The 17,832-nt window shown below is 37.7% G+C and overlaps 1 protein-coding gene and 1 pseudogene across 20 annotated transcripts in view; both read left to right on the top strand.

Annotated features, from left to right (window-relative positions):
* Positions 1–17,832, top strand: part of RC3H1 (ring finger and CCCH-type domains 1) — a 91,274-nt gene that overhangs the window by 38,516 nt on the left and 34,926 nt on the right. For all 20 annotated transcript variants that reach the window (XM_047447096.1, XM_047447104.1, XM_047447095.1 and 17 more), the window contains 6 exons: positions 185–424; positions 940–1,115; positions 2,833–3,033; positions 5,222–5,354; positions 11,215–11,333; positions 13,225–13,337. In XM_047447096.1, the coding sequence (XP_047303052.1) occupies positions 185–424; positions 940–1,115; positions 2,833–3,033; positions 5,222–5,354; positions 11,215–11,333; positions 13,225–13,337 (982 nt within the window). The remainder of the gene's footprint in view (positions 1–184; positions 425–939; positions 1,116–2,832; positions 3,034–5,221; positions 5,355–11,214; positions 11,334–13,224; positions 13,338–17,832) is intronic.
* RNA5SP68 (RNA, 5S ribosomal pseudogene 68) lies at positions 14,406–14,524 on the top strand (annotated as a pseudogene).

Below are 17,832 nucleotides of genomic sequence, written 5' to 3'. Positions count from 1 at the left end.
TGTATACTTTAAAAATGTATACTTAAGTAAGCTTTACATGTGTGGTTTTATTTGTTGCTTATTTTAAATACTCTAGTAGTCCCAGAACTAGTCACATACCCACAAGTTAACCCAACAGAAGAATTGCTCCTGGACTGTAAAATTGCATTGTGAACCTAGGAATAACTTCTTTACTCTTTTAAAGGAGTGGGTCTGAACAGCACTACTCAGAGTGTTCTGAGTCGCCCAATGCAGAGGAAGCTTGTGACTCTAGTCCACTGTCAACTAGTAGAAGAAGAAGGCAGGATTCGTGCCATGAGGGCAGCTCGATCTTTAGGTGAACGAACAGTTACAGAGCTCATTCTCCAGCACCAGAATCCTCAGCAACTCTCTTCCAATCTTTGGGCAGCAGTAAGGGCTAGGGGATGCCAGTTCCTTGGACCAGGTACATAATTAACTTTAGGTATTTATTCTGCTGGTAATTCTAAAAGTATGATGTAGGAATTATAAGTGATGTACAAAGCCTAGTTCTTTGCAGTATTTTATTGTTACCAACTAATATCTTGTTTGATGTTCATGGCTTGGGCAATTCCATGTAACTTAGTGGACTTACTAGGTGAACTTAGTGAACTTAAAACTTTTCTCTTAATGCCAAAAGTTGTTTCTTTTTTTAATTTTTTGATTTTTCCTTTTTTTCACACCTGTAGCAGGAAGTTCATTCATTTTGATAGAAGTTTTTCTTAAATTTATTAATCACTTTATCTGTTTTCTTTATAAAATATATAGAATGTAATACAAAATTGCTCACAAAAATGGTGTAAAAGTGTGTTGCTGGTTAATCTTAACTGTATTGCCAGTTAATTGAATAGCTGCAGAAATGATTAAATATTCCCCTTCTAATAAATGGATTTATCTTATCTATGTACTTGATAAATTTTGGTTTTGCCCAACTTTCCCTAGCAATGCAGGAGGAAGCTTTAAAGTTGGTTCTGCTGGCCTTAGAAGATGGTTCTGCTTTGTCAAGAAAAGTATTGGTTCTGTTTGTGGTGCAAAGATTGGAGCCACGGTTTCCTCAAGCCTCTAAAACTAGCATTGGGCATGTTGTTCAGCTCCTTTATAGAGCCTCCTGTTTCAAGGTATGAACCTACATTAAAGCTCAGCTTGAAAGGAAATATTGTTCTTTCCCCAAAGTTAAGTAGTAAAACTTTGAGTTTAATAAAGTTGCCTGTATCTTTTCAGAAAATCTCAGCAATTTTTCTTTATTCTTTTAAAGAATGTAGATGGGGTCTTATTATAGTTAAATACTATTATATTGAATTTTTGTATGTTCAATATTGAACAACATAGATCAAGTCAAGGTTTATAGATTTTTGTATTTGAAGAGACTAAGAAACTATATCAATTTCTTACCAAGACTGTGCAGAATTGGTCTGAAGAGAGAGTTATTGAAGCACAAATAAATTTTATTTATTTATTTTTATTTTTTTGAGACAAAGTCTTGCTGTCGCCCAGGCTGGAGTGCAGTGCATGATCTCGGCTCACTGCAACCTCCACCTCCTGCGTTCAAGCGATTCTCCTGTCTCAGCCTCCCGAGTAGCTGGGATTATAGGCAGGGCCACTGCACCTGGCTACTTTTTGTATTTTTGGTAGAGACGGGGTTTCGCCATGTTGGCCAGGCTGGTCTCGAACTCCTGACCTCAGGTGATCTGCCCGCCTCAGCCTCCCAAAGTGCTGGGATTACAAGCGTGAGCCACCGCGCCCAGCCAAATAAATTTTATTCAGAGATTTTCTCCTAGTGTAATTCCACATATACAATAATGAAGTTCCATTTGCCATTTCAGTTTATATGGTAATGCTGGACATAGTCTCTTATCCCAAATTGAATAAGCACCGCCTCAAACATTGCTACTCACTATGTATCATTTATTGTACATCCAGTATTATTTTTCTGACTTTTTTTTTTGAGATGCAGTCTTGCTCTGTCGCCCAGGCTGGAGTGCAGTGGTGTAGTCTTGGCTCACTGCATCCTCTGCCTTCTGGGTCAAGCAATTCTCCTGCCTCCAGCCTTCTAATCATAATCATTATGATTATTCTAGTCTAGCATCTCACACTTTACACTTTCTGGTAGTAGCCCATCCCACAAAACTCCATGAAGAATTAAGCCAAGTACAAATTAAATCATTTTTAGAATTACACCAGCATCTGAAGCTCTACAGTCATCAGTCCCACCTAGCTCATTGTCAGGCAATCCCAAGAGTCATAATCCACATTTATGGAGAAGAAACATATTGTTTTTCAGAATATAGAATTGTATTAGTATTTTTTTCTTTTCAAAAATACATATACACACACATACACCTTAAACTGAATGTATATGTTAAAGTATGTCAAATCTTTGGATTTCATTCCAGCACATACAGATTGACTATACAAAAATCCAAAATCCAAAACTTTTTGAACACCAACATGATGCTCACATGCTCATTGGGGCATTTCAGATTTTCAGAGTAAGGATGCTCAAGTGGTTTAATGCAGATATTCTAAAATTTGAAAAAATCTGAAATCTGATAACACTTCTGGCCCAAGCATTTTGGGTAAGAGATTCTCAGCCTGTATTTATTCTTTCTGAAAGACCTATCCAGAAAATGTTGGCCTAAATCCAACTTGACTCAGAATGGGATGATAGCAATATACCTACCTCAACAAGTTAAGGAGAAAATATTTTGCAGGCAAATGGTATATTCATTTAATCTTGCTGTTGATGCTAAATTTGTTACATTAAAAATTATATGTTCATATAAAGCATAAACTCATTTTTTTGACTTCATTATGAGATTATTTGTGTCTTATTAGGTCACCAAACGTGATGAAGACTCTTCTTTGATGCAGCTGAAAGAAGAATTTAGAACCTATGAAGCTCTGCGGCGAGAACATGACTCCCAGATAGTGCAGATTGCTATGGAAGCAGGCTTACGAATTGCACCGGACCAGTGGTCCTCTTTGCTTTATGGAGACCAGTCTCACAAATCTCATATGCAGTCCATTATTGACAAGGTAGGACCTTTTTTGTTCCTTACTTCTTAGACTAATCTTGGCATTTTGGTAATTCATTTAACAAATGTATATTAAAGTGAATACTGTATAGCTTTTGTAAATTGTATTTATAGCCAGTGTCATGTCATAACCAATCACGTTATAATACCACTTTGTTCATTTAAAGATTTGATTAGTTTATATTTTTTATTTTACTTATTTTATATTTTATTGTATTTTTACTAGAATCACAGAGATGAAGGCCAACTCTAGAGACCACTCTACATTTAATTTAGAGAAATAGAGTCAAATAGTAAGAGTAACCTAAAAAAAAAATAATGAACATTTACTAAAATCTTAATATGTATCTAGTGGTTTTAAATAATTCATTTAATCCTCTCAACAGCCCTGTATTATCCATTTTAGACAAAGACAAAGGGAAGTTAATATGTTTTTCCAGCATCACATAGATAATAAATGACAGAAGTGGATTTGAACTTGACCATTCTCAGTGTAGAGTACACTAACCTTTTACCAGACTATTCCCCCCCACCTTTTTTTTTTTTTTTTTTTTCCTATTTCTAAAGATAGAATTCCTTGAATGGGTAATACAGTGAGAATTGGGAAATATGTTTTTTAAATGCTTGGTGTAGGGTGGGCACAGTGGCTGATGCCTGTAATCTCAGCACTTTGAGAGGCCAAGGTGGGGGGATTGCTTGAGGCCAGGAGTTCAGTCACAGCCTGGGAAACATTGGGACACTCATCTCTACCAAAAAAAAAAAAAAATAGCCAGGTGTGGTGGTAGGCGCCTATAGTCTCAGCTACCTGGGAGGCTATGGTGGGAGAATCCCTTGAGCTCAGGAGTTTGAGGGTGCAGTGAGCTATGTTAGCACCTCGGCAACAGAGTGAGACCCTGTCTCTTTAGGGGGGATAAAAAGGCGGTACATAATTTTCAGTTACAATGTAGGTTGTTTGCTCTGCTCTATAAGTCTTCCCTGGATACCTTTAACCAGACTTTACCTGCAACTCTTAGGTTTGGACAGGAGCTTGTATCGGAAGTTTTGCAACTCATTTATAATTTACGGAAACGCTTAACGCTTAGTAATGATCTATTAGAGGAGTACCTTTCTACCTCTGAAGAGAAACTTGGCTTTTTTTGTTTGTTTGTTTGTTTGAGACAGAGTCTCACCCTGTCACCCAGGCTGGAGTGCAATGGCACTATCTCGGCTCACTGCAATCTCTGTCTCCCAGGTTCAAGCGATTCTCCTGCCTCAGCCTCCCAAGTAGCTGGGATTACAGGCACGCACTACCACACCCTGTACCACGCCCAAATTTTTTGTATCTTTAGTAGAGACGGGGTTTCACCATGTTGGCCAGGCTGGTTTCGAACTCCTGACATCGTCATCTGCCCACCACAGCCTCCCAAAGTGCTAGGATTACAGGCGTGAGCCACTGTGCCTGGCCTGGCTTGGCTTGTCTTTTATAAAGATTCTACAAGGTGGTTAATCTTGTCTGAACTGAACTGTGTAACTAGGTGTATATCCTACAGTAATTTTCTCATATCACACGCAGTGCTTTAAATTTAATATCCAGAGACCTTTGCACAACAAACTGGTAAACTTTGCAGTGTGTGTGATATTTTATAGAGCAATAGAACTTTCTGTAATCATGAAAATGTTCTGTGTATGCACTGTCCAATATGGTGATCACTAGTCACACACGGCCATTAAGCATTTGAAATGTGACTTTTGCAACGGATGAACTGAAATTTTTATTTCATTTAATTAACTTAAATTTAAATAGCCACATATTGCCAAGGTCACCATATTGGATAATAGAAAAGAGAATTTATTAAAAGCGATGAGGAAAGCACTAATTCTAGTAAATTAATGGGGAGAGAAACAGGAATTAACAATTCACAAAGAAGACTCATCAGTATATCTAATTGATGGTAGGCTGAATTGAGAGAGGTCTCACATTTGAAGAATGTGACAGCAGAGGCAATACAGTACACAATGTGCCAAGCTCTGGATGCAGAGAAGTACAGAATTTATTTGGGTAGCAAGTAATCTACTCTGGCCAAAGTGTAGGGTATATGGGAAGATAAAAATTAAATTTAATAAATCGCAAAAATGATTGTGATATAAATAATCTTTATATTTAAAGGATTATCTGACCTTTGGGAAAGTTAACATTTATCTTTTTTAAGTTGCAGACTCCAGCCTCTTTTGCACAGAGTGTTCAGGAACTAACAATTGCTCTCCAGCGAACTGGAGACCCAGCAAACTTGAACCGACTAAGACCCCATTTGGAGCTGTTAGCAAACATTGACCCTAGTCCAGGTAAACCCACGGGAAATTAATGGACTATCTTATATGTGCCTTTCGTGCTGCTCAATGATTCTTTAATTATCTTTTGTTGTTCCTCTAGGGTTTCCCAAAGTAGTTACTCCAGATCTTTTTTACAGTATTTTAAGTTTCCATTTTAAATCTTTTCCCTCTTTATCTCAGGTTAGTTCACTTTAATATTTATTTAATACTTTTTATACTGTTGCTCATTTCATCAGGAAAATAGATTTCTCTGGGCTTCTTTATGTTTCTTCTTTCTCCCGTCACAAAATTGTGTTGTATTTTACCATTCTTACCTCTTCCAAATCTCGTTTTTCTCATTTTTTTCTGTATTATGTATCCTTAGTTGCATTTCCTTGATCCTGTTTTTGCCCTCTCCATGATATCTTGTTCCTTCAAGTATCCTGTCTTGTATATCTTTACTTAGGCTTTTTCTGCTCCTTCTCCGTAACCTGAAAATATACCCAACCTTCATTTTTCAACTTGCACTTACATCTAAGTTATTTTAGCTTCTCTGTGTTTATTCCTACTACTGATCTGAAGCTCTCTTAATATTCACTAGTAGATTCCCAGTCTCTGATTCCAAAAGCTTTGTCTTAGTCTTTAAATCACTCCCATTTGTTTTCAGCATTTCGATAATGTTGTTGAGCACTTTTTTGATATCTTTCTGTGATCTCATAGTTCTCTTCTGACCTGAGTGCTACTTCTGTCTTATTTGTACCATGCCTTCCCCTCCTGCCCACTAAAGAGTAGGCAGGTTATGCTCTTGGAATTTTGTTTTCTCTACATGCTCTGATGGTGGTTATTCATTCTTAGCATCAGGTATTACCTTAGTGTAGAATACAGACTCCCAAATATCTCTATCACTATTATCTCTGCATCACTCCAGATACATCTCCCAGTGCTTGCTGAGATTCCCCATCGTGTCCTCTGAGTGCTTCAAAGCAAGCTCATCATTTCTTGATACTTGCTCTTCCTTTAATGTTTCCTCTTTCTGATAATGACCTCATTCTCTGAGGTATGTAAGTTTAAAACCTTAATGTTTTGTCTTGTCTCATCTTTTCCTTTCACTTGTTCTACATACTGTTTCATACAATGGGATTTATCTGTTCTTCTTTCACAATACCCCTATATCCCCTGCTTATAATTAATTCCTTTGAGAGCCTCCTTTTTCCTGAGACTGAATGTCTTCCAAGTTCCTCTACTATGAGTTCCTCCAATCCAGTCTACTTACTGCTGTAAAAGAAATCACATCCCTGGCCTGACACAGTGGCTTACGCCTGTAATCCCAGCACTTTGGGAGGCCGAGGCGGGCGGATCACGAGGTCAGGAGATCGAGACCATCCTGGCCAGCACGATGAAACCCCGTCTCTACTAAAAATACAAAAAAAATTAGCTGGGCATGGTGGCGGGCGCCTGTAGTCCCAGCTACTCGGGAGGCTGAGGCAGGAGAGTGGTGTGAACCCGGGCGGCAGAGTTTGCAGTGAGCCGAGACTGCACCACTGCACTCCAGCCTGGGCAACAGAGCGAGACTCCGTCTCAAAAAAAAAAAAAAAAAGAAATCACATCCCTGATCTTCCTTCCACACTCATAAACTTTCATTGTTTGTAGAATTGCTTACGGAATAAGGTTTGACACTCTTGACTATGGCATTCAGAGCCCTCTTAGTTTTTTATCAGCCTACTTTTATAGATTTGCTCCCAAAATTGCTTAGTAAACCAGATCAATGTTACTAGAATATATAGTGATTTTTTTCCCTGACTGCTGTCCTTTGATCATCCTGAGCAGTCAAAAGAGAACTTTCACAAGTTCCTAAACCATTTTTGACCCCATTTCTCATCTACCTACCACTTCATTTCTTTTTTTGGCACACTCTTGAACTCAACTCCAGTCAGGCATTTATCTCCACTGCTCTATCCAAACTTATTTTGTCAAGGTCATAAATTACTTCCATGTAGCTAATTCCAAAAGTCAGTTCTCAGTTCTTACTGTACTTGATTTAGCAGCATTTAACTTTTTTTTTTTTTTTGGAGATACAGTTTCACTCTGTCCCCCAGGCTGGAGGCAATGGCAAGATCTCGGTTCACTGCAACCTCTGCCTGGTTCAAGCAATTCTTGTCCCGAGTAGCTAGGATTACAGGCTTGTACCACCACATCCAGCTAATTTATTATTCTTATTATTCTTATTATTTATTTTTAGTATCTTTAGTAGAAACAGGGTTTCACCATCTTGGCCAGGCTGTTCTCAAACTCCTGAACTCAGGTGACCCGCCTGCCTCAGCCTCCCAAAGTGCTAGGATTACAGGCATGAGCCACCATGCCTGGCCATTGTTCTGTACTCTCTCTTCCTTGAAATGCTTTTTTCTTGGCTTCTAGGCTACTAATTCTCTTCTTTATTGGACTCTCCTCAGCATCCTCTGCTTTCTCATCTTCATATCCTGTACTCTTTGGAGTGTTCTCAGAGTTTAATCCTATATCTGTTTCCTAGATAATCTTATCTATCCCATAGCTTCAAATATAATTTATGTAACTCACAAATTTACTGTATTTTTTTTTTTTTTTTTTTTTTTTTTTTTTTTTTTTTGAGACGGAGTCTCGCTCTGTCGCCCAGGCTGGAGTGCAGTGGCGGGATCTCGGCTCACTGCAAGCTCCGCCTCCCGGGTTCACGCCATTCTCCTGCCTCAGCCTCCCAAGTAGCTGGGACTACAGGCGCCCGCCACTACGCCCGGCTAATTTTTTGTATTTTTAGTAGAGACGGGGTTTCACCTTGTTAGCCAGGATGGTCTCGATCTCCTGACCTCGTGATCCGCCCGCCTCGGCCTCCCAAAGTGCTGGGATTACAGGCGTGAGCCACCGCGCCCGGCCAAATTTACTGTATTTTTATCAGTTCTGAGGTTCATAATTATTTCAGATCTTAGCATTTCTGAAATTGGAATGCATTTGTATGAAGACATATTATAATTAACAACCTTTTTTTTCTTTGTTGGCACATAAAGTAGTACGTATTACAATTGATAGTCTTTTAGAATTTGAAATATATATCCAGCCCATGCCTTTTTCCTGAACTTGTATATAAAACTGCTTTCTCGGCCGGGTGCAGTGGCTCACGCCTGTAATCCCAGCACTTTGGGAGGCCAAGGCGGGCGGATCACAAGGTCAAGAGATCAAGACCATCCTGGCCAACATGGTGAAACCCCGTCTCTACTAAAAATACAAAAACTAGCTGGGCGTGGTGGCAGGCACCTGTAGTCCCAGCTACTTGGGAGGCTGAGACAGGAGAATTGCTTGAACCCGGAAGATGGAGGTTGCAGTGAGCAGAGATCATGCCACTGCACTCCAGCCTGATGACAGAGCGAGACTCCATCAAAAAAACAAAACAAAACTGCTTTCTCAGCATCTATCATCTTATATCTGATAAGCATTTCAAACTGAATCTATCTAAAAATGAGCTCTCCCCTGCCATCCTGTTTGTGGCAACTCTGTCATTCCAGTTGCTTAGTCCAAAAACCTCTTCTTTCTCTCATAATGTATATCTGATCCATTAGCAAATTCTGTAGGCCCTACCTTTAAAATCCATCCAGAATCCATTTACCTTCACTGCTACCATCCCCATCTCTCAGGGGATTATGGAATAGCCTCCTGTTGTCTGTCTGATTTTAACAAAAGAGCCGGAGCGACCCTGTCACCCTCTGCTCATAAATTCTCCTGTGGCTTTCTATCAACTCAGAGTAAAACCCAGTATCCTTCCCATGATCTATAGGGCCTCATGTGATCTGGTCTTCTACTACCTCTCTCAAACCTCATTTCCTACCCTTTTTTTCCACTTAATTCCCTCCTCTCTGATTCCACCTCCATGCAACATGCCAGGCACACTTCTTACATCAAGGACTTTGCACTTATTCTTCCCTCTAACTTGGATGTTTTTCCCTTGGTATATTATTCTGCATGTCAAGAAGAATTAGTTACAGAATATTCTTTGATTATAGGGCCTTTTGTAGTTTTTGTGGTGTGTTGTATGGAAACATACATATAGCTGTATTGAACATTGTACAAAACAAATATTAGAAGATAATTTATATATTTGAAAGTCTCCAGTAGGCACACTTAAACCCTTCTTTCAGGTCTTTAATCAAATGTAACCTTCTCAAGGAGGACTTTTCTGGCCTCTGTCTAAATTTTTTTTTTTTTTTTTTTTTTTTTTTTTGAGACAGTCTCCCTCTATTGACCAGGCTGGAGTGCAGTGGTGCAATCTCAGCTCACTGCAACCTCCGCCTCCCAGGTTGAAGTGATTCTCCTACCTTGGCTTCCGGAGTAGCTGGGACTACAGGCGTGTGCCACCATGCCCAGCTAATTTTTTTGTATTTTTAGTAGAGCGCAGTGGCTCATGCCTGTAATCCCAGCACTTTGGAAGGCCAAGATGGGTGGATTGCCTCTGTCTAAAATTTTACACATTGGCCCCACTTCTCTTCTTAGCTCTATTTTTTGAATTCAACATTATCTAAATACTACTGTATATTTTGCTTATTTGTCTTGGTTATTATCTGGCTCTTCTCCTTGAATATAATGGGGATTTTTGTTTTAATCACTATTGCTTACCCAACAACTAGAACAATAACTCAGATTTAGCAAGTGTTCCAAAAACTACTTTTTTGAATACTTGTTTTCTTCACCTTTTTTCCTTTTCAGATTCCATGTGTCCTTCAAAGCCCAGTTCAAATGCCATCCCCTAGAATTCTTTCAGGGTGTCTGAGCAAGAAGTTATCTCTACATCTCTCTTCTTGTTTCATTTTACATATTTCTTTTAAAGAATATATTTAGCCTTATAGTTAATTTTTCTTTTATAAATCATAGTGCTGGCACTGGGCAAATACCTACTAAATGAAGAAAACATGTAGCAGAGTTACTTTATATGATAGTTCTTCTATTAAACTTTTTTTTTTTTTTTTTGAGATGGAGTTTCTCTCTGTCACCAGGATGGAGTGCAGTGGTGCAATCTCGGCTCACTGCAACCTCCGCCTCCCGGGTTCAAGCGATTCTCCTGCCTCAGCCTCCTAAGTTGCTGGGACTATAGGCGCGTGCCACCATGCCTGGGTAATTTTTGTATTTTTAGTGGAGACGGGGTTTCACAATGCTGGCCAGGATGGTCTCCATCTCTTGATCTTGTGATCTGCCCACCTCGGCCTGCGAAAGTGCTGAGATTACAGGCCTGAGCCACTGTGCCCGGCTTATTAAACTTTTTAAGCTTTTTGTTTACCAAAACTTTATTTATATAAAAGTTCAAAATAAACATGCAAATTGACTAACTGTAGACAGTCCTCAGTTTTGTTTAATCCACACAGTGTTGGTCTGAGCAATGGTCTAAATTTCTTAGATGCCAATATTTTAAAACTGGGAAATTTTTACTTAAAAATCTCAAGTTTCAGGTTTCCCTGGGAAACAGTGAATGTATCTGGCAGTGCCAGCCTTGCATCATCACATAACAACAATCATCTAAAGCTGAGTTATAACCATACTCTTAGATGAGGGACATGCTCCCCAGTTCAGCAGTCCCTGTCACTCGTTGTTGTCTCCTCAACACTGAGAGTCTAATGACAGTTACCACTATTGTGTGGCCTATTTACCTCTTTCATGTTACCTTTCTTGTTCCTATGGTTATTTCAGTTTGCAACCCCAGCTTTGAAAGAATATGTCCATTCCTTTAAAATGATGGTTAGGTGAATAAGCTATTATCTAAAAAGCTAAGGTGTGAAGCTTGATTTCACTGAAATGTTTTCAAGTAACTCTTTTATTAATTTGATATTAGGGAAAATTTTGAGTAACATTAGAGTTTAAAACATTATCATTGGTTGTATAGATGCTCCTCCTCCTACTTGGGAACAGCTGGAAAATGGGCTGGTTGCTGTGCGTACAGTGGTACATGGGCTGGTTGATTATATCCAGAACCACAGCAAAAAAGGAGCAGATCAGCAGCAGGTAAGGAAGCTGTTTAAAACTTAGAGTTAACCCACTGTGGATATGCCTTAAAACTATAGGTAAACCACTGTGGGTATACCTACAGATACAAAGCCAAAAAGATAACATGAACATTTTGAGACTCTGAGTATAGAAACTGTAAATTACCTTGGCATGGTTAACAGTTTACTGCATTAGGCTGATAACTTTATCTGACAATATTGACATTAAATAATCCTTATTGATCTGATGTCATGCTGGGGTCAGTCTTCACATTGGATATGGCAGCATTTGATGGAGAAAATGGATTCAGTGCTGAAGTTTATTCCATTTATATAAGATTATTATTCTCTTTAGTTTGTTTAACATTTTGGTTTGACAATAAGTATCACTTTTTAGTGCTAATACTGTGTCTTTCCAATACTGTTCAAATTTCTATAGATTTTCTTATTAATATTTTAAGATTTTTTTCATTCATAATGTCTTATGCCATTGGGCCAAATCTCCCTCAAAGTTTTTAGATGAAAATACGATGGTAGAATATAATAACTTCTTATAGCTAGAGTTTTAAATTTTATTCCCAGTAATTTTATTTTGCTCTCAGGATTTATATTAGGTTCATTAGATCTTTTATTTTGCAGTAGTAAGCCTGTGAACGTAAAACTCTTAATTTACCTGGTTCAGGTAAATATAAATAGGTTACTCAGTATTCCTTTTTGCTTAAGAGGCAAGAAATATAAAAATTATCCTGCTAAGTAAAATAATCTGGATATGATTTTCCTAACCTATCTAACACAGGTCAAAGCTTTATTTATGAATAGGCATAAAAGAAAGGAGAACCTACAGTTTTTAACTCTCTGTTTCATTAGACATCTTGAAGAAAATAACAAGAGTAATGAGACTAACCTTTAAAGTCTGCCATATAGTGATAAAATACACTAAATTTTGTCCAGTTTAGTGTTGTGTCTCATATTTCATTAACTTTCAAATCCATCCTCCTGCCTTATCCTTGAGTTATAAATAATAAGTGTCATTTGTACTTTTGGAACTATTTTAAGTTCTTCATATATTATTCTGCATGTCAAGAAGAATTAGTTACAGAATATTCTTTGATTATAGGGCCTTTTGTAGTTTTTGTGGTATGTTGTATGGAAACATACATATAGCTATATTGAACATTGTACAAAACAAATATTAGAAGATAATTTATATATTTGAAAGTCTTAAACTACAGTGGTTTGTTTTTTCATTATAAAATGTGGAAATGGGCTGGGCACAGTGGCTCACACCTGTAATCCCAAGCACTTTGGGAGGCTGAGGCAGGCGGATCATTTGAGGTCAGGAGTTTGAGACCAGCCTGGCTAACATGATGAAACCCTGTCTCTACTAAAAATACAAAAATTAGCCAGGTGCGGTGGTGGACACCTGTAATCCCAGCTACTCAGGAGGCTGAGGCAGGAGAATCGCTTGAGCCGGGGAGGTGGAAGTTGCAGTGAGCCAAGATTGCGCCGCTGCCCTCCAGCCCGGGCAACAGAGTAAGACTCCTTCTCAAAAAAAAAAAAAAAAAAAGTGGAAATGAGATCATAGTGTCCCCATGAGCTTTTTCTTTTTCCATATAATACAAGTATAAGAATGCCCATGAGATTTATTCAAGAATTTATATTATGCTACTTGTTTGAGAATTAATATCAACATATCAGAAAAATTAGGACTACCTTCTTTGTTTTTGCTTTATTTATATTTGGACTTTGAAACTTCAGACAGAATGACTTTCCAGCACTTTTGCTCTTGGTAATCTAAATAAATATGTGAATTACTTATCTAGATTATCAAGATCCTAAAATGACAACACAAAATTTATGTTTTTTTGTGGGGGGTTATTACACATCTAATGTTTTGATTTTGGTTTTAGCCTCCACAGCATAGCAAATACAAAACATACATGTGTCGAGATATGAAGCAGAGAGGAGGATGCCCTCGTGGGGCCAGCTGTACATTTGCACACTCACAGGAGGAACTGGAAAAGTAAGTGTGAAAGTCAGGAGACTTTGGAATAAGGTGTAAGTGGAATAATTCGCTGACATACAGAAATACAGAAAGAGTAGCTGCTTTATCTTAAATGAATAGGACATTTTTAGAATGTAACACAGCTTGAACATTCCTATTCTGAAAATCTGAAATGCTTCAAAATCCAAAAATGCTTGAAAGCCAACTTGACACCACAAGTTGAAAATTCCACACTTGACCTTGTGATGGATAGCAGTCAAAACTTCATGCACAAAATTATTTAAAATAATGTATAAAATTACTTTCAGACTATGTGTAAAAGATGTATATGAAATATAAATGAATTTCATGTTATATATTTGGGTCTTATCCCCAAGACATCTCCTTATGTATATGCAAATATTCCAAAATCCAAGACAAATCCAAATCTTGAAACACTTCTGGTCTCAAGCATTTCGGGTAAGAGATATTCAACCTGTACATAATTTTTAAAAATGAAAAGCAGTTTCTTCAGCTTTTATTGCATCATGCCTATAGATAGGAAACTATTTTATGATTAGCTAAATCTAAAAGTGGGTCATTTTCACTACAAAAAAAATTAAAATTATAATAATTTTAATCAATTTTAACTTAATTTAACTAATTGCATGATGTATTTCCAGTGGAAAATTTTGCCCTTGGCTCAGTTTAACAGATTCTTTTAAACTTCAAGGACAAGATAATTTCAGGGATGTTAAATTTTTCAGCTCATTGAAGAAAGAAAGGAAAAACCTCTTAATTTTTTTTATTTTTATTTTATTTTATTTTATTTTTTAAAAATAGAGACAGGGTCTCCCTATGTTGCCCAGGCTGGTCTCAAACTCCTGGGCTTAAGGGAGCCTCCTGCCTTGGCCTCCCAAAGTGCTAGGATTACAGGCAGGAGCCACCACACCCACCGCCTCTTAATTTATTTATAAATCCAATGTAACACTTTCATTAAATTTGACAAAGATAACACAATTAAAACTGCAAATCTACTGCAAGTATTAATATTAAAAATCTCAAAAATTTAAATATAATTCAGTAATACATTACAATAGATGCCATGTCTAAGGGCATAACACCCTGAATCCACCTGAGCTCATCTGATCTCGGAAGCTAAGCATGGTCAGGCCCAGTTAGTACTTGGATGGGAGACTACCTGGGAATATTGGGTGCTGTAGGTTTTTTTTTTTAATATAAATAATATAATTTTTTTTTAAAGAAAAGAAAATAGATGCCATGACTCTGCAAAAGTAGTACAATATAATTATCACAACTTAGAAAATAACATGATAATATCCAAAAAATGCCAAAGGCCTTTGAATAAAATTGAATGTCAATTAAAAATCAAATTCCAGCCAGGCGCCGGTGGCTCCCAGCACTTTGGGAGGCTGAAGCGGGCGGATCACAAGGTCAAGAGATTGAGACCATCCTGGCCAACATTGTGAAACCCCGTCTCTACTAAAAACACAAAAATTAGCTGGGTGTGGTGGCATGCGCCTGTAGACCAAGCTACTCGGGAGGCTGAGGCAGGAGAATCGCTTGAACCCGGGAGGTGGAGGTTGCAGTGAGCCGAGATTGCACCGTAGCACTCCAGCCTGAACGACAGTGCGAGACTCTGTCTCCAAAAAAAAAAAAAAAAAAATCAAAATTCCTTAATACAACAGAAATGCCATACTTTCTCAGCATGGTAATAAATTATATTATAAATCAGAAGCCAACATAATAGTATGATGCTTAATTAGTAAAATATTCGATTCACTCTCATTAAAGTCAAGGATAAAGCAAAATTTTCTGCTAGTAATTAGTAGTAAAATTTTCTACCACTGTTATTTAACATTGTGGAAGTAGTAGCTAATGTATGTAAGAAAGAATAACATAGCCATAAAATTATTGGGAAAAACTTTAGTACTAGAAACAAAAGAAATGAGAATTTAGTAAGATGGCAAATTTTAAAAATCACAAACATGAATTGCCCTCGTGTAAACTAAAAAGAGAAACATAACCAGTTTAAAAATAAGTTAAAATTAAGGATCTCTTCCAGGGTGTATATAAATTGAACCAATAAATTACCTAGGAACATAAGAGAAATATTGAGTAAATATACTGTGTTCTTGGATAAGGTTTGATGCTATAAAAGTTTCATTTTCCCATAAACAACAAATTCCAAGAAATCCGAATTTAAATCTCACCATGATGATGTTAAGATCCTATCAAAAATTCATTTGTAAAGAATAAATAGGTACAAATAGCAAGGAAAATTCTGAAAATTCTGGAAGTTTTAGACAGGAACTAGACTAATAACTATTTACCTGTATTATGGACTACAGTGAATAAAAGACTTTAGTCTTTTGCGTAGGAATAGATAGATTAATGAAATGCAATAGAGAATCTAGGAGGAGTTTGAGATGCATATAGGAGCTTAGCATATGTGCTAAAGGTGGCATTTCACATCAGTGACCAAATGAATGATGGAAAATAACTGTCACCTATTTGAAAAATAGAGCTGGATTCTTACCACAATCTTTATACTAAAATGAACTCTAGATGTATAAGAGATTTAAATATTTAGGAAGGCAAGAAACCACAGAGTAGTTAAGAGGATTTTTGTTTGTTTGTTTTTAGTTGTTAAATAAGGAAAGAAGGAAAAGATTTTTTTAAGAACTGCAACCCAGCATCCATAAAGGAAAAGATTGATAAATTTGATTACATAAAAATTATAAAACTAAGATATGGTACAAATACAGTTTTTTATAAAAAGCTTGGTGAGGAAATGACACACAGAGGGCTGATATCCTAACATAAAATGAGCTCTTACAAGTCTGTAGGAAGGAGAGGAACCAATAGATTTATGGATCATAAACATAGTTTACGGAAGAAATACTAATGGCCAATTATCCTGTGAAACTATGTTCAATCTCACTAGTTGTTAAAGAAATGCAAATTAAAGCAACTTAGTATTTTTGGACTACCAAATTAACAAGACCAGTGCTACCCAGTATTTGATGAGGTTTTGAAAGACGTTTTTCTTCATGATCAGTAGGACTTAAAATAGTTTTAGAGAGCAGTATGACATAAAAATTTCTAATTTGCGTGCTCTTTGACCTCATTCTGCCTTTGCTTATTTGGTTATTCACACAGGGTGCAAGTACATGTTCATAATTATCTGTTACTTTTTTTTTGAGACAGGGTCTTACTCTGTCTCCCAGGCTGGAGTGCAGTGATGCAATCATGGCCCACTGCAGCCTCGACTTCCAGGCTCCAATGATCCTCTCACCTCAGCCTCCCGAGAAGCTGGGACCACAGGTGCATGCCACCATGCCCAGCTAATTTTTGTATTTTTGGTAGAGACAGTTTTCCCATGTTTCCCAGGCTGTTCTTGAATACCTGAGCTCAAGTGAATCCACCCACCTCAGCCTCCCAAAGTGCTGGGATTACAGGCGTGAGCCATTGTGCCCAGCACATTATTTTAATAGCCAAAAAAAACCCAACCAGCCTAAAATGAACTGACATAAAGGGATGTCTAAGATTATTAAGTGGAGGGAAAAATTAGCAGTAATATATGACTCAACTGCTGCAAATAATAATCTTATATGAATATAAAGCTAATGTATAAAGGAACAATTCCATATAATGATACACTAGACTTTCAACAATAATTACCCCTGAGGGGTAGTTTTCTCCCCAACCTCAGAAATTTGTCAGTTTTGGGAAACGTGGAAAAATAGCATTATTACTCTGATGGGGTTTTATTTATTTTTTTATTTACTTTTTTTTTTTGTTTTTTGAGACAGGGTCTCGCTCTGTCGCCCAGGCTGGAGTGCAGTGGCACAATCTCGGCTCACTGCAACCTCCGCCTCCCGGGCTCAAGCAATTCTCCTGTCTCAGCCTCCTGAGTAGCTGGGACTACAGGTGCCTGCCACCACACCCAGCTAATTTTTGTATTTTTAGTAGAGATGGGGTTTCACCATATTGGTCAGGCTGGTCTTGACTCCTGACCTCAGGTGATCTGCCCGCCTCGGCCTCCCAAAGTGCTGGGATTACAGGTATGAGCCACCGCGCCAAGCCGAGGTTTTATTTTTCAAAATAAAAATGCATTAGCAGTTGTAAATGGACTTGCTTTCATTGTTGAGGAACAAAGATCCTGGAGTCTGATGGCTTATATTTTTTCCTTTGGTTAGATTTCAGAATCGATGTGCTTGTTGTACCACAGCATCTCTTTAAACCCAGGCAATTATTCTGTATTGGTTCCATTAACCTACTTTTAAAATAACTTTAATTTTGTATTGGCATACATAACATCAGCATCTCTGAAGCAGTTCTAATAAAAGTCACTATCCTTAATTGCTTAAATTTTTTTTTGAAACAGGGTCTCACTGTGTTGCCCAGGCTGGAGTACAGTGGTGCAATCTTGGCTCACTGCAACCTCTGCCTCAGGCTCAAGTGATCCTCCCGCCTCAACCTCCCGAGTAGCTGGGACCACAGGCATGCA

The sequence above is a fragment of the Homo sapiens genome, chromosome 1 (genome assembly GCF_000001405.40).
Source record: "Homo sapiens chromosome 1, GRCh38.p14 Primary Assembly".
NCBI lineage: Eukaryota > Metazoa > Chordata > Mammalia > Primates > Hominidae > Homo > Homo sapiens.
This window is presented reverse-complemented; position numbering and strand designations above follow the sequence as displayed.